The sequence below is a fragment of the Homo sapiens genome, chromosome 1 (genome assembly GCF_000001405.40).
Source record: "Homo sapiens chromosome 1, GRCh38.p14 Primary Assembly".
NCBI classification, from domain to species: Eukaryota; Metazoa; Chordata; class Mammalia; order Primates; family Hominidae; genus Homo; species Homo sapiens.
The window spans coordinates 26,287,008-26,305,833 of NC_000001.11; the positions used below are offsets into that span (position 1 = coordinate 26,287,008).

Consider the following 18,826-nt stretch of genomic DNA (forward strand, 5'->3'; position numbering starts at 1 on the left):
GTTATTTAGTTCCATTTTACACATGAGGAAACAGGCCCACAGAGATGAAAAATGACTCGTCCCAAGCCACTTGGTGAGAGGAGGAACTGGGAAGGGAGCCGGGGCTGACTCTCAAGTCTGTTTCCCCCACCCATCTGCACCATCAGGAGAGGGAGGTCAGAAGAGGGACAGATGGCTCTCAGGGAGGATGTAGGGACAGCTGCTGGCCAGAACAGATATGGGACAGACCTTAGGTTGTGCAACTATTTCTGGGTCACAGACCCCTTTGAGAAGCTGACAAAGCTCTGGCCTCCTCTTCTGAAACACGTGTGGCGCATACAGCTGTGTTCTGGCTTCAGGGGAGAATACGGAGCGGTGGGGACAGCCGTGACAGACAACAGAGCAGAAAGGTGGAGGGCAGGTAGATGCTGGCTGGGTACAGACCAGGGGCCTGTTCTGTCATCTTTGATGGGACCTGGCCCCCAAGTAAGTCATCTGTTTGGGTGTGCCCTACAACACACCAATAACTTTTGGGGCCTCAGAGAGGCTGTTTTTCAACAGGACAAGCAGGCTGCGGCAGGATGTGGGTCAGGGCTCTGGGGACCTAATTCCTTTCCTCTCAGTGGTGCAGTGGCTGTACCAGGGAGGTGCAGATGTGTTTCCTGTTGCTTTTGCAGCAGGTGAAATGGTAGGCCCCAGCTGGCCTTCTCCTCTCCCCTATATTTCCTACCATTGAAGGGGCTATACCTGCCCCCAGCCCCTCCGGGGGCTCCCCACATAGTCCCTGAGATTCCCAGGAAAAACTCGCCTAACAGAATGATACCAAGACACTTTTCTTTTAACAACTACCTTAAGGACAAATAGGCAAACCTAAAAACAATAGCAGAATAGATCATCTCATACAATGCCTGCCTCAACCCTTTTTTTTTTTTTTCCGAGAAAGGGTCTCCCTCTGTCACCCAAGCTGGAGTATAGCGGCACAGTCATGATACTGCAACCGTGACCTCCCGGGTTCAACTTATCCTCCCACCTCAGCCTCCCAAGTAGCTTGGACCACAGGCAGGCATCACCACACCCTGCTAATTAATTTAAAAAAAAATTGTAGAGATGGGGTCTCGCTGTGTTACCAGGGCTCTGTCTTCTTTATAGATGGGGAAAGTGAGGCCCAGAAAGGTCAGATGACATGGCCTGATCAGACCAGACAGAGCCAGGAAGAGCACCAAATACACCAACTCCTAATTCAATGCTCCTGCCGCCTCCCAGGGCCGGGGGTTTTTCAGGCTGATGAACATGGGTGGTTGACATGGGATGGGGTGAGACCAGGGAGGATGCCAAGAAACGACGAAGGGGAAGAGAGAAGCTTGCCAAGAAAATGGCCCTGGCTTAAAGAAGTAAAAGCAGGTGGCCCAGGCAGATGCTGGATATGATAGAGTGGAGATGAGACCAGGGGCCAGGAAGAAGGAACCACAGCTCTGGGCAAACCAGCACTGAGAGAATGAGGTGGGAAGAGCTACCACAGCAGGGCCTTGTGAAGCCAGTGAGCCCCCACCACCCCACCAGGGTTCAACTGAGGCCTGACCCGTGGATGGAGAGAGGTGCAGCTGGGGAGTCACACAGCAGGAGTAAGGTCAGAGGGCAAGTCCTAGGTCTGCCCTGAGCTAGCAGCAGAACTCAAATGGAAAGGCACTTCCTCTTTGAGCCACAGCCATCCTTTCTGTGCAATGGGGAGATGGTAAGAACCCTGTACTGCCTGCAAGATCCAGCTGGTGAACCTGTCTGTAAATGACAGCCCTGTGCCAAGCGCCAGGAGGCAGGCATCACCATTTCTGTTTTACAGATAAGGAAATTGGGCCTTATGAGCTGTCACGCCCCAGATCATGCAGCTTGCAGGGCCCAAGTGACTCAGCCTCAGTGCTCAGTGATCACATAGGCTGCCTCTCAATATTGGTTCTTGAGAGGCTGCTTACTGGGGTCCCTTTTCCAGGGAGAGTGGCAATGCTGGGAGATCACCTCTGAGGCCTCATCCAACTTTGAGAGCCCACGAGTGTATTAAAATGAGAAGGGAGCTCAAGTCCAAGCTCTTTGTCCCAACTCCCAAGACCCTTACTTAGCACCCAGCCAACCCTCAACATGCCCCTCGCCTTGCGCTCTGGTGGGCACTGGAGGGCACTTCCGAGCTCTGTAACCCTGGGCCTCTATGGGCCTCAGCTTCCTCTTCTGTACAATGAGGACGATAAAAGTTTCCACACTTCACAGGGCTGCTGTGAGGCTTGGAGGAAGCGTTTGGCAGATGGTGGCTGTTGTTGTCCCTAGCACCGCCTACTCATCGCTGGGCTCAAGCTGTGCCCACTCACCCCTACCTCCTCCAAGAAGCCTTGCTAGGAGCCACCCCCAACCTGCCTTGAGGCTGCATGCCTGGAGCCCTTGCACCTACTCCCTTGGCCCTCGTCACAGGCCGCTGCTTTCTGCTTGCTTGTTTGCCTTCCAGCCATGCTGGGCACCCCTTGAGCTCAGGAGCATTGAGCCCTGGGCCTGGCCCAGAGTGGCTGGGCCACTAAAAGCAGGGTTGGATCCTGCTTTCCAGAAATGTCTGAGCACCCGTGCTCTGCTAGGCCCTGCCCATCATGGCGATGCCCACGCCCAGGGTCCTGCCATCCTCAGGCTCAGACTCAAGTGAAGAAGACGGGGCGGCAAATGGCGACAATGGCATGTGTAAGTATCACTGTGGGGGCTGTGGAGCCCAGAAGAGGGCCAGACCCTACCATGCTCAGTGGAGAGGTGGCAGCCCCTCACTGCACAAGTGCCCAGGGCACCCCGGCAGCTCACGCGGTGCCGCCCTCCATGTGCCTGCCCTTGACCCTCAGGCAAAGACGGCTGCAACAGGAAGTGGAACCACTATTACCACACACCTGCAAGCCAGGCCCCGCTCTGGGGACTTTACTGCAGTCACTCTGCTCTTCAGAGGAGCCAGTGCAGGAAAGGAGGCCCTGCAGGTCTGGTCCCCGCCAGAACACTCAACCAGCCTGTGGACTGGCAGGATCTGAACTCAGGCCTGCCGGGTCCCACCTGCAGCTCTCTCTGGCCCCTGCCATTGAGCTACGCACCACCCTGTCCCCACCTCATCATGTGCAGATGACTGTTCCAATGTGCTCTGATCATCCAAGCCTGGGCACACGGGCATCACAGCCAATCACATGCAGCTACACACACCCTTGCCCATGTGCCAAGCACTGGGACATGCATGACAACAGCTAGGTGACAGTGGCTGTCACAGTTTATTACCACATCCATTCAGTGGCCCTAGGAGCCCGTCAGCACGACTGAGGAGGAAATGAACTCAGAGGGGGTCAGCGATCTGCTGATCTGGGGTCTGACCCGACCTGAACCCTGCCTCAGCCAGAGCTTTTAGCCCCTTCCCTCAAGCAGAGCCCTCCCCACAGAGCAGCACAGCCCACACAGGGCAGTCAGAGTTTGCTGGCGGAGGTTGGATTTGCCCTGAGCTTCAGAGGGGAGGGAAGCGGGCAAGGCGCTCTGTGGGGACAGAGCAGGAGCAAAGGCTGGAGGCAGAAGTGCAGGTGGGGAGGGGTCAAGCCAGGTGGCTCTGGGATTGAAGGGCAAGCCCAGGGGCAAGTCACGCAGGCTGCGGAGTCAGGGGGCCTCCAACCCAGACTCAGGAGTGTGGGGCTTGAGAGGAAGGAGGGAGGCGTGTGGGGTGCTGGCAGGGAGAGGTGGAGCCATGGAGGGAGGCAGGGACTGACTTGGGTAGGGGAAGTGGGGATTTCAGAGGGGGATGAGAGGGTGAGGATTCTCAGGGGAACAGGGAAGTAGTGAGGAGTGAGGAGCTCAGAGATGCAGAGGGTGGGGGGGAAGGGAGAACTTCAGAGCTGACCAGAGCTCTCAGCCCCGAGGCCCAACACCTGGCCCCAGTGGCGTGTGACCAGAGCAGGACTGTCCCTTTCATGTCTCCACAGACCCTGAAGCACCTGGCACAGCATGCTCTGTGACGCTGGCAGAGAGAGGGGGAGAGTGAGCGATCCAGCCTGAGGCCAAGCCCCTTCATGGCCCCACCGGCCCTCCTCCCTAGGAGTCCCAGGCTCCAGGAAGTTTGATCACCCCACTGGCTCGGCACAGACGGCCCTGGCTCACCCTCCACAGGCCTCCACCCCAGCGCCTGTGGGAGCCTCTCCAACAGAGGGAGAGCAGAGCAATCAGCCGAGTGTCAGGCAGGCCAGCGGGGGCCAGGCTGTGAGCCTGAGGCCCCTGGGCGGAGCAGGGTGGCACCTGGGGAGAGAGGAACGGGGACGCCGGAGAGATGTCCCAGGAACAGAAGCTGCTAGCGACGAAAAACGTCATTCATCTGGCAGAAAGAGCCGAATCAAGGCCCCCCGCCCATGCTGAAAAAATCAAAGAACAAAAGAAGGAAGAGAACGCACGGAGGGACCACAGATATGGCCAGGGCCTCCAAGATGGAGGGCAGGGTTTTTCACAAGTTACTTTGACTTGAGGCACTCAGAGCACAAACAACCAAACAGGGCAGAGTAGGAATCCACAGAGCCAGGTCCAGAAACCAGCCACCTGGCAAGGAGCAAGGAGGTCCCCCCTGGCCAGGAGGAAGGCTGCCCTGCAACAAGATGGCAGGCCTACCTGAAGCCTGAGCCCAGCCCGCCACAGCAGGGCCCAGGGTGCGGCACTTGTGGGCCTCTGGCCTAGATCCAGGATAGACATTCTCAGAGCACCTGCAGCCACCCAATAGGGCCTCACCTCTCACTCATGCCAGGGGTCCCTTGAGAACTCTCCCCACGACACCCACCCTGGGTTCAGTTAGAGCTTTGGAGTTGGCATGCCTGGGCCTACAGTGCCCTGGGCAGCAGGGACACGCTCCCCTTCCTAGCATCATAGGGACTGCACAGCCCCCAGCTTTGCTGTGTCCCAAGTGTACTCAGCATCTTTCCCGCAGCTGTGCTCCCTCGGGTTATCCCTGACTCCTCTGGTCCTCTCCCTCATGTAAAGACACCAAGGCCACGGATTCTACTTAAATCTCTCTGCCCATCCCTTCTCACCATCCCCACCCTCAAGCTGGGCATCATCTCATCTTCTGCCTCAGTGACCAACTGCCTTACAGTGGGCTGTCAGCCTTAAGTCTTGCCCCTCTTCCCTCAATAATGAGTCCACAGACTCCTTAAGTGCCTCCCTTTACCCATCTGTGAAATGGAGTAACTCCTGGCCCCTGTCAAGGCTATGAAGATGCTGGCAGGGCACAGTGGCTCACAACTGTAATCCCAGCACTTTGGGAGGCTGAGGCAGCAGGATCACTGGCATCCAGGAGTTCAAGACCAGCCTTGGCAACGTAGCGAGACCTCGTCTCTACAAAAAATAAAGAAAATCAGCTGGGTGTGGTGGCACGTGCCTGCAGTCCCAGCTACTCAGACAGCTGAGGTGGGAGGATCACTTCAGCCCAGGAGGTTGAGGCTGCAGTGAGCCATGACTGTGCCACTGCACTCAGCCCAGGCAAAAGTGAGACCCTGCCTCAAAAAATAAAAAGAAAAATAAAGAAAAGAAAAAAGAAAATGCTTTGAAAGCTGCAAATGGCTGGGCGCGGTGGCTCACACCTGTAATCCCAGCACTTTGGGATGCCGAGGCGGGAAGATCACGAGGTTAGGAGTTTGAGACCAGCCTGACCAACATGGCGAAACGCTGTCTCTACTAAAAATACAAAAATCAGCCGGGCATGGTGGTGGGCGCCTGTAATCCCAGCTACTCAGGAGGCTGAGGCAGGAGAATCGCTTGAACCCAGGAGGCAGAGGTTGCAGTGAGCCGAGATTGTGCCATTGCACTCTAGCCTGGGCAACAAGAGCAAGACTCCATCTCAAAAAAAAAAAGAAAGCTGCAAATGGCACAAAAATGGGAAGTGATGTTTTGAGAACAAGCAGTGAGGGCGTTAGACCCTGAGATCTGGGGGGATCCAGCCAGAGCCCAGGCCTAAACAGGAGGCAGGATTCTCATGTTTGGAATCTGGGTTTTTACCTAGCAGGAAACCAAGAAGGTGTCGTCATCTTCCAAATGGGCCCCTTGGAAGCTGTGCTCCTATTCCCGTGGGACCCCTGCCCTCAGACTTTGGAAACAACAATGGCTGCAAGGCCAGAGCTAGGCGCTCTGCGTTTAACTCATTTGCTCCTTGTAACTCCCAGGGAAGAACACTCCTGTTTTGTTGATGAAGTGAATAGAGGTCATCTGCCCAAGTCACACTTGGGATAGGAGGTAGAGTCGAGTTGAGGGCCCAGGTGTGCCTGACTCTAGAGCCTGGAGAAGCATCTTTTGGGTGACAATCTCCATTCTTTGAAGAGAATGGGCCTGGTTTTCAGAAATGGCCAGTTTTATGGACCCAAATCTGTGGGTCTATAGGAGGGGACTGTGGGAGGAATCCCTCTAGATATTAGAAGTTAAAAATAAGACATGGTAGGCCAGGCGTGGTGGCTCACACCTGTAATCCCAGCACTTTGGGAGGCCAAGGTGGGCAGATCACGAGGTCAGGAGTTCAAGACCAGCCTGGCCAACATGGTAAAACCCCGTCTTTACTAAAAATACAAAAATTAGCTGGGTGTGTTGGCACACACTTGTAATCCTAGCTACTCAGGAGGCTGAGGCAGGAGAATTGCTTGAACCTGGGAGGCAGAGGTTGCAATGAGCCAAATCGTGCCACTGCACTCCAGCCTGGGTGACAGAGCAAGACTCCGTCTCAAAAAAAAAAAAAAAAAAAAAAAAAAAAGACATGGTAGGGGCCCACAGAACCAGGTGGATTCCAAGGGCCATAAGCAAACCTGGAGAGGGAGGCCAAACCTGGGAATTTGGCAGCAGCTTCTAGAACAGAAGGATTGCCTTTTTTTAAAACGGCAACATCTTCCAGATTGGTGGCGTTTTGTAGACTATGTGACCTGAGGCAAATAAGGCCTTGCTACCTCTTGTATCTCTGGGTCTCTGACAGATGAGCAAGAGAGAGCAGAGGTAGGACCGTGGAGAAGTGGGCCAGCAGGTTAAGTGGTCAGTGATGGAGGCCAAGGCTGCTCCCACATTGTCTCAGGGGCAAGTTGTGGGCTCTCAGGGCGTCTTGGGTCAGGGACCCGGGCACGAATGAGATAGGCCTCTGGGGAGCTGCCGGCCAACAGCAAACTGTTGGAGAATTCCTTTTGAAGAGGGCCTGGGGCAGACGCCCTGCTCTACCTGGCTTCCAGAACTTCTTGGCTGTCATCCAGTCCCTCTCGCCATGCTCTGAGACTGTCTTGCTCTCTGAGTCCTCCTGGTCCATGGGCTCGCCCACCCACTGCAGGCCATAGTCACTGAGGAACCGCTGTGGGAAAGAAGGGGGAGATGCGGGGCACCGTCAGCTCAGCCCCTTCCCAGGGAAAGGCAGTGTCAGCCCAAAGCCCAGCCTCAGTCTGCAGGCAATGGGGCCCCCAGAGCTGACCAGACAAAGGGATGAGTAGGGGGATCTTGCCATTTCCTGGCTGTGACCTTGGAAAGCCACCTCAGTCCCTAGAGCCTCAGACGACTCCTCTAATAAAATGGAGTGACAGTTCCTGCCACATAAGCTTGTGAGGAGGGCTCAGTAAGATCACTCAGGTCAGCGCCCAGCCCATGCGAGGGCTCGGTAAGGTCAGCCTCCTTGGCTGCAGAAATCACGTGGCCTGGCCCAAGTGTGAGAAGGAGGCAGGGCTGAGGGATGTGAACCATGTGCCAGCCTCCCTAGGGCTTGGCCGCATGTCCCCTCTGCCACAGGAAACTTCTGGACTGTCTACATGTCCACACCCCGACTTCTTTTCTCAAGCCACTCTAACCTGGCTCCATCGCCATACCTCTCTGAAACTGCTCAAGGTGCTGCAACCACCAACCTACCCGCTGCCAAGCGCATGGGCACATTTCTGTCTATCTTTCACCATCTGCTAGTTTTCCTCCCATCTCCTGGGCTGTTCCTTTCCAATTTCCTTCACCGTTTCCCCTTCCTATCCAACACCAACTCATGGGGGCCCAGCTCCATCCACACGCTCTCCCAAATATATACGACAGAACCCAAGTTTGTATTTATGCAGATTTCACCCGAGCTCCAGACTCACATTTCCAACCGTCCACACTTGGATGTCTAATGGCTGTGGCTCTTGTCCCCCTGTCAAACCTCCCCCGTGCCAGGTTTTCCTGTCTCCAGAAATGGCACCCCCTCCACCTGAGAATCCTCTGTCGCCCATTCCTCCAGGATGACCCACAAGGCCTGTGGTGCCCCCTCCAATGCAGCCTGGAACCCATCCACTGGGCTCCATCTGCTGCCACCACCCTAGTTCAAGCCACCGTCATCTTTCTCCTGGACAATCCAGGGGCGGCGCCTGCTTCCCCCGTCCTCTCCTCACCCACACCACCCAACCCCACAAAGCAGGGTGGTCTTTTTGTCATGCCACCTCTCAAACAGAAGCCTTCCAATGGCTTCCCATTTTTTCGGGACAGGATCCAGCCAGAACCACGGGCGGCTCCAATGTGATAAGGCCCCCACGACCTCTTCTCTTTTCCCGTTCTTCTCCTTCCTCCACACAGCCACCGACCGCAAGCCAAGTTATGTGGCGGGAAGTGGCACCTTCCCTGTCTAAGGCCTGGATCCTCTCACCCCATTCCCCTCCTCACTCACCAGACATCATGCCCAATGTCACCCCCGCAGGTGGTCCCCCAACTTGCCTCTGTGGTGTCACCCATTTCATCAAGTCACAGCACTCTCTGTACTTGTGTACCTGTGTACTCGTTTGTTCCCCTCCCCACAGACTGGCAGCCTCATGCAGGCGGGGGACTATGTCTGTCTTGGTCATGCTCTGCCCCAGGCCTGCCCCAAGCAGATCCTCCAGATGAGGCTGTTAAATGAATGAAGTGATAACTGTGTGGCGGAGACGCATGCAAGGGCAGTCATGCCCCTGCCCCGAGGCTCTGGTGCAGCCCTCACCGCCTGTGGCCACTGCTCGGGGACAACCCCAGGTATGAACAGCTTGGAGTGGGAAGGGCTCTCAGCTGCAATTGGAGGTTTGCTGCCAAGGTTTTAAATTAGATTGGGACTTTGGAAACCAATTCTGCGTGGAGAGGGAGAGAGGCTGAATCCCAGGAAGAACTTCTGGCAGGGCCCATGCGTGCCTGGGACCCTTCTCTGTGCCTGGTGTCCCTCTAGTTCCCTTGCTGTTTGAATGGGTCTGTGAGCGGGGGAAAGAAAGGTGACTGGGGTCACTGAGTCCCCAGTGAGCAGAAGTCACAGCCAGAGGCAGCAAATTGCTTAACCAATTCAGTGCTAGGTCCTGGGTGCACAGTGACATACAGGAGGAAACTGCTCCCTCCGTCGTGGAGTTCAGAGTCCCACAAGGGAAGAGAGATGAGGCACTGAGAAAGCTCGGGATGGAAAACCTGCCTAGGAGGCCCGGGGGATATGACTGAGGACAGTGGAACTGACCTGGGGGAGGTGGGGAAACATTTCAGCAGAGGGAACAGCAACAGCACGGCCCAAGGCCCTGAGGTGGGAAGCAGCTCCATGAGGTCAAAGACCCAGAGGAAGGGCCTCATGGCTGGAGGGGAGAGTGGTTCAAGCTAAGATGAAGAGGCATGCAGGGGCCAGCCCGCAGGGGCCACAGCGAGGACTGTAGAATTCAGTTCAGTGGGAGCCATGAGGTCTGCTAAGCAGGGGAGAGGCATGTTCAGAGGGCCCAAAAGCAGGGGTGTGCCCCAGCCCCAGACACCTCCCTGGCTCTTTAAAGTCTGGGCCAGTCCTGGGTAGGGAAATGCAGGGCAGGGTCCCTGGGTGGGATGTGACGAGGAGAGGCCCAGAGAGGTGGGCTCGGACCCAGCTCCTGAGGAACATGCCGTGAAGAGCTGGGGACTGCTGGCTGCCCGCATCCCCCGGGGCCCAGCTCTCTCACCTCCATCTCCCTGACCTGCCGCTGCAGCTGCACACACATCGTCTCCAGTTCCTCCTGCCGCTGCAGGGTTGCCTCGGCTTCAGGGAAAGACAGGGACAGGCTTCAGCTGCCCCAGCAAGACACTGCCAGGTCACCTCTGCCCTGAGGGTCATCTGGAGAAGCTGTTCTGGGGATCCCCCAAGAACTGCCTCTTGGCCCCCCACCTCTCTGGCCTCTCCTCTGACCCCGTGGCGGTGCCTTGATGGGCCCTAGGAGGCTGCCACTCCCCTCAGAGCCTCCTCTCCTCCACACTTCAGATGGGACTCGGTCCCATGTAGGAGGGCATGGAGTGACTCCAGCACTGTCCTGGATATGCTGCAGCCCCTCTGTGGGCTCAGCTGTCCAGACCCCACCAAGTAGTCAGCTTGATGCTCTTGATGCCAGAAGCCATTGTGAAGCTTCCAGGAGCCCTGGGCCCAGGGGAGGTGCCTGACTGGGGGCGCAGGTCAGCCCTCCAAGAGCCCCCTACCTGGGTGTGGCCGGAGGGTCTGCACCAGGTCCTCTAGGGCCGCTATCTTCTGATCCTGTAGCATAAGACACAGGGTGAGCACAGGGCCTGTGGTTCCCAGAGCCCTGCCCAGACAGGAAGCTCCAGAGCTTTGCCTATGTTGGATGCTGGGGAGCAGCAAGCCCCTGCCACCCTTTGGCACAGCCACTTCTCCCGGACCTCAGATAACCCTCGCAGTTCCTCTGAGGTAGGGAGAGGTGCGGCCCACACCTGAGGACCCCCACATCTGAGGGTGCCGCGCTCTGCTCAGCAGTCCACTGTGCCACCCAGTCCAGGGTCTACTGGGTCCTGCTCAGCTGAGGGGAAGACCCCCCAGCCTCTCGGCTCAGGTCACAGGACCTAGATCAGGCCCAGGCCACACCTGGTCCTCGAACTGGGCAGGTCAGTGTGGTAGACGGTTCTAGAATCACCCACCCTAGTCCAACTCCTGGCCTCCCCAGCCCAGTCCCTCCACCTCTCAGACCGGCCCCTGGCCCTCTCCCACCTGGAGCCCCACCTTGGACAGTATCTCATCAGTCTGGGCCTTCACCTGCTGCTCCAGGTCCCACAACTTCCTCGTCATGAAGGCCATCAGCTCCGAGTCATGGGATGCAGGGACTGCCAAGCACACAAAGTCTTTAGAGCCCAGACCTAGAGCCGAGGCTGAGTTGTGGGGGGGAGGGAGGAGGATAGGGGTCCCAGGAATGGAAATGAAGGTACTGAGAGCAGCTCCCACTGGCATCATAGGAACTGTTCTAAACACTTCATGTAGATCAACCCCCTGTAATCCTTGAAACACACCCAGGAGGTAAATGAACTGTTTTAGGAAACTGAGACACAAAGGGATCAAGTAATTTGTCCAACATATACAAGGAAGTGGTGTAACATATGGGTGACATCACCCTGAAGCATTGCCAAGAATTTCACCCTCGATCTAATCAAACCTCCAAATCTAGTGTCCAGTTGGTACGCAAAACAGCAGATAGAGGAGTGAGGCAAATACCCCACGGGCAAACTGCCAGACAAAGCCAGAATGCGGGGTGCTGTAGAAAACAGTAGCCAGGGCCGGGCATGCGGTGGCTCATGCCTGTAATCCCAGCACTTTGGGAGGCCAAGGCAGGTGGATCACTTGAGGCCAGGAGTCCAAAACCAGCCTGGCCAACATGGTGAAACCCTGCCTCTACTAAAAATACAAAAATCAGCCGGGCGTGGTGGCAGGTGCCTGTAATCCCAGCTACTCGAGAATCGCTTGAACCCAGGAGGCGGAGGTTGCAGTGAGCCAAGATCGCACCACTGCACTCCAGCCTGGGTAACAGAGTGAGGGACTCTGTCTCAGAAAAAAAAAAAAAAAAAAAAAAGTATGAAAATGGAAAAGAAGAGAAACCTACAGGAAGAAGCAGGCCTTTTCCTTTTCTTCCCCTAGACAGTGTCCTTTCTATGTATGAAGCAGGAACCGCGGCCATCATCCTACAACCACATGAGGCTGACATGTCAAGGCAGGTTCAGTGGAAAGATGGAGAAACCTGAGCCCCTGATGATGTCTTGGAGTCACTGAATTAACACCCCTGGAGCTGCCTCTTTAGGATTTCTTTGCATGTGGGATAACAAAACTTCCTTAATGTTCTTGTTGGCTGAGGAAGGGTTTTCTTTGACTTATAGTTAAATGCATCTTAATTGACAAACATTTGGGAACTGTCTACACATGGAGTGCAGGTGAGCTCACTGGGGCACAGTGGACACAGAGGAGAATCCAGGCCAGAGGAACATCACATTGAAAAGCTGAGGGCCTGGGTGCAGTGGCTCGCACCTGTAATCCCAGCACTTTGGGAGGCCGAGGCGGGCAGATCACTTGAGACCAGGAGTTCGAGACCAGCCTGAGCAACATAGAGAAACCCTGTCTCTACTAAAAATACAAAAATTAGCCAGGCATGGTGGTGTGTGTCTGTAGTCCCAGCTACTTGAGAGGCTGAAGTGGGAGGACTGCTTGAGCCTGACAGGTCGAGGCTGCAGTAAGTAGTGATTTGCACCGCTGCACTCCAGGCTGGGCAACAGAGCAAGGCAGTCTCCAAAAAAAAAAAAAACAAAAAAAAAACCTGAGAGAAAAAAGGAGGTGGTGATGACAGCTAAGAGACAGAGCCTAGAAGCAGAGGGTAATGGGAGGGCAGCAGCTTGGTGCCTAAGAGCTTGGTGGAGGTCCTGAGAAGGAAGGAGCAGTGGACAGTATAGGACACTGCTGGCAGAGAAGTAAAATAAGATAGGCAAGTCCTCATCTGTTACCTTGGTAGGGACAGATATTGGCTGGGAGTGGGAGAGGAGGGGATGACAGGGGAAAGCAGGGAGAGGACACCTGGAGCTCTTTCAAAGAGAGAACCTGGTTGCCATGGTTACTACTGAAAGTGACCTGGCTGGGTATGGTGGCTCATGCCTGTAATCCCAGCACTTTGGGAGGCTGAGGCAGGAGGACTGATTGTGCCTGGGAGGCTGAGGTTGCAGTGAGCCATGATCGCACCACTGCACTCCAGCCTGGATGACAGAGCAAAACCCTGTCTCAAAAAAAATAAAATAAAAAAGAAAGTTGACCCCAGCCAGGGTATAGGAGATCTTGGCTTTGTGGTGAAATGGCCGCAGAACCTTAGGCCAGGCTCTTCCTGTCTCTTTTTCCACCTCAATTCCCTCCTCCGGTAAAATGGAAGGGGCCTGAGGGAGAATCATCAGGCCCTTCCCTATGGCTGGCCTCCTGATGGGCAGCCACCACACTGAGCACCTCGCGTGACAGGCGCTGGCCAGGGGCCCTCCACCGAGGAGCATCTCATTGAATCCTCCCAACACGCTGCCCTCGCTGTTCCCATGCCCACTTCACAGAGGAGGCCTCAGAGACAGAGAGATGCGAAGTTGCTTGCTCAAGATACCACAGCTAGTGAGCTAGTGGAAAGTTCTAACCTTATCCCCAGCATCCCCAGATCCCGCCCAGCACTCTGCAGGGCTCATCCCTGCCTGCCCATGTCTCCCCTTTTCTCAGACCTGCTAAATCCCCACTCTGGGAAGCCACCCTGATTAGCCCCATCCCACTTTAGGTGCCTCCATGAGCTCAGCATTGCCACAGCCCTCTGCCAAGCTAAGCAGACTGTCTAGGCGACTTTGGGCCTTGCCAGAGCCCTGCAGAAGCAGGAAGCTGAGCTCTACCCTCAGACTTCATCCCTCTCTGACCCTGAATCCTGAGCCCACTGATATCACACCTGGTAACTATAGCCACAGCCTGGCCTGGGGCTGGGGCTGGGGCTGGGCCTCGGCCTCCTGAGCTAAGGGTGGGGCTTGTGTGGCTTTATGCCAAGCCAGGTCCCTGCCACAATCAGCCAGGAGTGGAAGCAGCTGCCTCAGACCAAACAGGCGAGAGGAAGGGCCATGCCTCCCTAGGCCTTGCCCCGTCTCTGGGGCCCCCTCCTGCAGCCAGGACCCAGACCCTTCAGGCCTCTGCTCTCACCTTGCCGACTCACAGGGGCACCTATGCCGCCATAGCAGGAAGGGACTGAGATCTTTTCTTCTGAGCCACACCCATCACTCAACATGTCCACCTCATCTTCTGCAGACAGGGATGCCTAGGTCACCGCTCTGGGGCGGAGACCCAGAGGAAACTCAGGCCCTGGGCCCTCGCCAGTGTGACGCGGCCTATGCACTGTGCCCCAGGGAGTTTGAGGAGAGAGAATTCACAAGGCTGGGGAGCAAGGATCCAACCAGAATGGGGCTGTTTTGGAGTTCTTCCAGTCCTGCTCCCAGGGGGACTGGCATGGCCAATGCCAATGCCATGGTGGAGAGTTGGGGGGCAGGGATCCAAAGGCCTGAGCTACAAGAGTCAGGGTGGCAATGTGTGGACAGGCCTCCCGGGAGAAAGGCTGTCACACTGGAGGAGGCTGGAGGGGGAAGGGGGGCTGGGATCCAAACCCCTGGGCTGGGTAATCTCTTGGCCCTCACTTGGTTTCTAGGCACACACTGGCCAGTCCCACAGTGGGTCAAGGGGTTCAAATGTGAGTGGCAACATCTGTGCCAAGGGTATGGGGCCTCCTAATCTGAGAGCTTCCAGGAGGGAAGCCCAGCCCTCAGGGAGGACAGCATGGGAGCTGCACAGAACACGGTGGAGGCCGCTGCTCCAGCTGACAAGGGCCTTTCTCGTGTGATTTCTCTCCATCGGTCCAACTGTAGGAGGTGCAAGCACATGAGAGGCGAAGAGGGCACGAGGGCGGGGCACACTTACCATCTCCATAGATGCGGATTCCTCGCCTCCTGGGAACCCAGGCAGGAAGAAGGAAGAAATATAAGTTAGGGCCCCTGGAATGATACCAGGGATAAGGCTCTGGGCACCGGACTTCAGCCAAAGCTCAAAGAGATGGAAGCAGGGCCTCTAACTCCTGAGGACTTCCAGCCCCAAATCCCAGCCCCAGCCTGGGGTGAGACAAGGGACAGGCTTCGAGGTGTCTGACTTCACCCAGTGGAGAAGGATGGGGAAGGGGTGAAGAGCAGAGTCTTAGGTGGGAAGACTACAAGGCTTGCAAAGCCCATGAGCTCAGCCCCAGCTCTGCTCTGCAAAGGCTGTGAGGCCTGTTGCTTAACCTCTCTGAATCTTCTAGGCCTTAGAATGACTCAAAGTGGGGCCAGGCGCGGTGGCTGGTAATTCCAGCACTTTGGGAGGCCGAGGTGGGCAGATCACGAGGTCAGGAGATCGAGACCATCCTGGGTAACACAGTGAAACCCGTCTCTACTAAAAATACAAAAAATTAGCCAGGTGTTATAGCATGCGCCTGTAGTCCCAGCTACTGAGGCTGAGGCAGGAGAATCGCTTGAACTCAGGAGGCACAGGTTGCAGTGAGCCAAGATCGTGCCACTGCAATCCACAGCCTGGGCGACAGAGCGAGACTTGGTCTTTAAAAAAAAAAAAAAAAAAAAAAAAAAAAAGACTCAAAGTGGTATTCCAGAGAGCAAGAAGGAAGAGAGGTAAAAAATGTTTTGAAAACATGAAAGTGCTAGACAGATGTAAAAGATTCCCTTTACTGAACCCCACACAGGGCCTGGCCCAGGATAGGTCCGTAGACCATCTGTGTTTGCAGAATTAATCAATGAACAGTGAATGAACAGATGGGATGCCAAGCCACTCCTACAGGGCCCATACCTTACTAAAAGCACAACCCAGTTTATGCTCAGATCCAAAGTTGGGTGCCCCAGAAGAAGGTATAAAGAAAAAGACAGTGGTCAGGGAAGGCTATGTGGCCCTTCTTTGTATTCCCCAAGACACTAGGAGTCACTGTCCTCTGGCCATGGAAGGATAGAAGAGGATACAGAGGCGGGGACAGAAAGACCCCTGAGGCTGGCTCCTTACCCAGGATTCATAGGCTCCGAGGGCAGGGGCACTTTTCGGGTCTTGCTAAGGGAGGCCAAAGGTGAGCTCATAGTTCTACTTCTAGAATCCAGCTGTCAGGAACTCCCTAGAGGAATGCAGGAAGTCAGCCCCTGGGGACAGACTCAGGGCTCCAAGCCCAGGGGGTAGCCTGAAGTTTCCACTTCCCTGGCTACTCTTCCTAATGGGAAGCGCTGTCTAGGCAGCAGTACCTTTTGCCTCTTCCACTGTCTCCACAGAGGTTTCTGGAAGTTTCTGTTATCTGCCTGCTCCTCTGGGTATACGGCTTTCTGCTCTGAACTGAGAGACCTTTGGCCTGGTGGTGCTTGGGAAAGTACTGTGAGGGTGGGATGGGATGCAGAAATGAGTCAGAAGCCTGGAACTTTCCCAAACTTAGAGCCTGAAAATGCTACTACCCAGGAGGCTGTCCGTCCATCAGCCAGCTGGGTGACACAAAGCCCAAGTATCTCCTTCCCTCCCACCAGAAACCAGGTGCCACTCCCAACATCTCAGAGCCAGAGAGGCCAACCCACAGGCAGGATTCAATCAAGACACAGGCCGAGGTGGGTGGATCGCCTGAGGTCAGTGGTTCGAGATCAGCTGTCCGACATGGTGAAACCCTGTCTCTACTAAAAACACAAAAATTAGCTGGGCGTGGTGGCGTGCTCCTGTAGTCCCAGCTACTTGGGAGTCTGAGGCACGAGAATCGCTTGAACCCAGGAGGTGGGGAGGATGCAATGAGATGAGACTGCACCATTGCACTCCAACCAACCTGGGCAACAAGAGCGAAACTCCATCTCAAAAAAAAAAAAAAAAAAAAAGACACAGTCCATGTGACACCAAGGTTAAGATGCCAGGTTTTGCCACTCACTGGAGTAACCCACCCTCAGTTTCTTTTAGTATAAAATGGGGGTCGTAATAGTACTGGCACAGGCAGGGTTCTGAGCAGATTCAGAGATAACAGAGAAGGTCTAGCCCAGCGCCAAGCTCAAAGGAAGCACTGAAAAATGTGAGTTGGGGCTGCTGTTGTTTTTGCTGTTGCTGCCACATAGGAAGCACTCGTAAATGTTAGTTTCCTTTCCTTTCCTCTTCCTTCTGGAAAAAGGAGTGCACCTGAAGGACATAATCGAAGGCTACTACTCTATTCAGTAAATGACCTCAGGTGATCCGCCCCCCTCGACCTCCCAAAGTGCTGGGATTACAGGCATGAGCCACTGCACCCAGCCTGGACCAAATTTTTTAGGACAAATCCAAGAAGTTCCACTTTGAAGATGTCTGGTTCTGGCCTCAACCCTACTTCTGAAGTCAGTCAGCAAGGGAATCTATGCTGCCTGGAGGCAGCCTCCAATGCCTTCACTGCAGAGTTTGAGAATCATGCCCTGCCCCTTCCTTGGAAGGAGCCCTCCTCAAGGATCAGGCCCAGAGTTTCTTCACCCCCAGCATCCAGCCTCCCAAATCTGTCCCCACCCTGCCCCAGCCCCTGCCCTGTCTGGGCAGCCTCACGGGTTGTATGGCCAAGGCTCCCTTCATTAGTTCCCATGTGCTACCAGAGAGATCTTAAAACATAAAGCAGGCCGGGAGCGGTGGCTCATGCCTATAATCCCAGCACTTCTCACCCACAGAAAAAAATTCAAAATTCTGGCCAGGCACGGTGGCTTACACCTATAATCCCAACACTTTGGGAGGCCGAGGAGGGTGGATCACCTAAGGTCAGGAGTTCAAGACCAGCCTGACCAACGTGGCAAAACCCCATCTCTACTAAAAATACAAAAATTAGCCGGGCTTGGTGGCAGGCACCTGTAATCCCAGCTACTTGGGAGGCCGAGGCAGAAGAATTGCTTGAACCCAGGAGGCGGAGGTTGCAGTGAGCAGAGATTGCGCCATTGCACTCCAGCCTGGGTGACAGAGCAAGACTCCATCTCAAAAAAAAATTCATAATTCCTTGATATAGGTGACCTGGTCCCTGCTTATGTCTCCTGACCTCATCTCCCATCTTGCCGCCTCCCACACTTGAGCCACCTCAACTTCTAGCAATGCCTCAAATGCATGTGTATCCCCCCTGCCTCAACCTCAATCCCCCCACTCCCAGAACGGTCTCCCCACTCCTACCTGCACCCTTCCCTTGGCCAGCTAACTCTTTTTTTTCCCCTTCAGTTTGTTTTTCACTTATATTTTAGCTTTTTATTTGAAAATTATTATAGATTCACAGGAAATTAGGAAAATAGTACAGAAAGATCCTTTGTATCCTTCACCCAGCTCCCCTCAATACTTTTTTTGTTTTGTTTTTTGAGATGGAGTCTCGCTCTGTCGCCCAGGCTGGAGAGCAATGGCGCAATCTCGGCTCACTGCAACCTCCGCCTCCCAGGTTCAAGCAATTCTCCTGCCTCAGCCTCCCAAAGTGCTAGGATTACCGGCGTGAGCCACCCCACCTGGCCCATCTCTATAATTTTCTTACTTCAAAAAAGTTACACAAATGGAATTATACAGTATGCAACCTTTTTCATAAAACAGCTTTGAGATATAATTCACATATTTCACCTTCTTACAGTGTAATTTTCTTTTTAGTATATTCACAGAGCTGTACTACCATCACAATTTTAGAACATTTTCGTCAGCCTAAACAAACCCTGTACCCTTTGGCAGTCACCCCCAATTTACCCTCCAGCCCCCACCCCTTTTCCAAGGCAGCCTTAGGCAACCACAAATCTACTTTCTGTTCTATAGACTTGCCCACACTGCACATTTCATATAAATGGAATATATACTAAAATATACTAAAAATTGAAATTTACACTTTAAAGGAGTGAAGTATGTAATACGTGAATTATATCTCAATAAAGCTGTCATGGGAAAAAAAAACAAAACTCCTAAACCAAATCCAACATTTTCGTCAAACTCACTTCCTCCCACTTCCCCCTTCTTAATGGGACCCCATCACCCAACCACATTTTTTCTCTCCTTCCTTCCCTCTTACGCCATCTTGCCTCTTACATCAAACCCTGC

The 18,826-nt window shown here is 54.6% G+C and overlaps 1 protein-coding gene across 5 annotated transcripts in view, besides 8 other annotated features; it reads right to left on the reverse strand.

Annotated features, from left to right (window-relative positions):
• UBXN11 (UBX domain protein 11) overlaps positions 1 to 18,826 on the reverse strand; it is a 36,074-nt gene that overhangs the window by 4,726 nt on the left and 12,522 nt on the right. For 2 of the 5 annotated variants that reach the window (NM_145345.3, NM_001389559.1), the window contains 6 exons: positions 15,806 to 15,911; positions 14,687 to 14,715; positions 10,955 to 11,055; positions 10,420 to 10,474; positions 9,912 to 9,988; positions 7,198 to 7,324 (listed from right to left, as the gene is read on the reverse strand). In NM_145345.3, coding sequence (NP_663320.2) covers positions 7,198 to 7,324; positions 9,912 to 9,988; positions 10,420 to 10,474; positions 10,955 to 11,055; positions 14,687 to 14,715; positions 15,806 to 15,876 — 460 coding nt within the window. In that variant the 5' untranslated portion in view covers positions 15,877 to 15,911. Of the gene's footprint in view, positions 1 to 7,197; positions 7,325 to 9,911; positions 9,989 to 10,419; positions 10,475 to 10,954; positions 11,056 to 13,918; positions 14,018 to 14,686; positions 14,716 to 15,805; positions 15,912 to 16,035; positions 16,161 to 18,826 lie in introns of all 5 variants that reach the window. The other 3 variants (NM_183008.3, NM_001389556.1, NM_001077262.2) reach the window with 3 other exon arrangements.
• Positions 2,440 to 2,719: an enhancer, noted in NCBI's record as "active region_488". NCBI's record gives its function as "activates an Ori minimal core promoter by ATAC-STARR-seq in GM12878 lymphoblastoid cells {active_cell/tissue: GM12878}" and the evidence as "EXISTENCE:reporter gene assay evidence [ECO:0000049][PMID:35858748]".
• Positions 2,730 to 2,869: an enhancer, noted in NCBI's record as "active region_489". NCBI's record gives its function as "activates an Ori minimal core promoter by ATAC-STARR-seq in GM12878 lymphoblastoid cells {active_cell/tissue: GM12878}" and the evidence as "EXISTENCE:reporter gene assay evidence [ECO:0000049][PMID:35858748]".
• Positions 2,730 to 3,558: a biological region, named in NCBI's record as "H3K27ac-H3K4me1 hESC enhancer GRCh37_chr1:26616244-26617056".
• Positions 2,746 to 3,558: an enhancer, noted in NCBI's record as "H3K27ac-H3K4me1 hESC enhancer chr1:26616244-26617056 (GRCh37/hg19 assembly coordinates)". NCBI's record gives its function as "activates a minimal SCP1, AML or CMV promoter by ChIP-STARR-seq in primed H9 embryonic stem cells {active_cell/tissue: H9 hESC(primed)}" and the evidence as "EXISTENCE:reporter gene assay evidence [ECO:0000049][PMID:30033119]".
• Positions 3,559 to 4,372: an enhancer, noted in NCBI's record as "H3K27ac-H3K4me1 hESC enhancer chr1:26617057-26617870 (GRCh37/hg19 assembly coordinates)". NCBI's record gives its function as "activates a minimal SCP1, AML or CMV promoter by ChIP-STARR-seq in primed H9 embryonic stem cells {active_cell/tissue: H9 hESC(primed)}" and the evidence as "EXISTENCE:reporter gene assay evidence [ECO:0000049][PMID:30033119]".
• Positions 3,650 to 3,789: an enhancer, noted in NCBI's record as "active region_490". NCBI's record gives its function as "activates an Ori minimal core promoter by ATAC-STARR-seq in GM12878 lymphoblastoid cells {active_cell/tissue: GM12878}" and the evidence as "EXISTENCE:reporter gene assay evidence [ECO:0000049][PMID:35858748]".
• Positions 3,800 to 3,859: an enhancer, noted in NCBI's record as "active region_491". NCBI's record gives its function as "activates an Ori minimal core promoter by ATAC-STARR-seq in GM12878 lymphoblastoid cells {active_cell/tissue: GM12878}" and the evidence as "EXISTENCE:reporter gene assay evidence [ECO:0000049][PMID:35858748]".
• Positions 15,537 to 16,736: an enhancer, noted in NCBI's record as "CDK7 strongly-dependent group 2 enhancer chr1:26629035-26630234 (GRCh37/hg19 assembly coordinates)". NCBI's record gives its function as "activates an origin of replication core promoter dependent on BRD2, BRD4, P300/CBP, MED14 and CDK7 cofactors, with strong dependence on CDK7, by STARR-seq in HCT116 cells {active_cell/tissue: HCT116}" and the evidence as "EXISTENCE:reporter gene assay evidence [ECO:0000049][PMID:35650434]".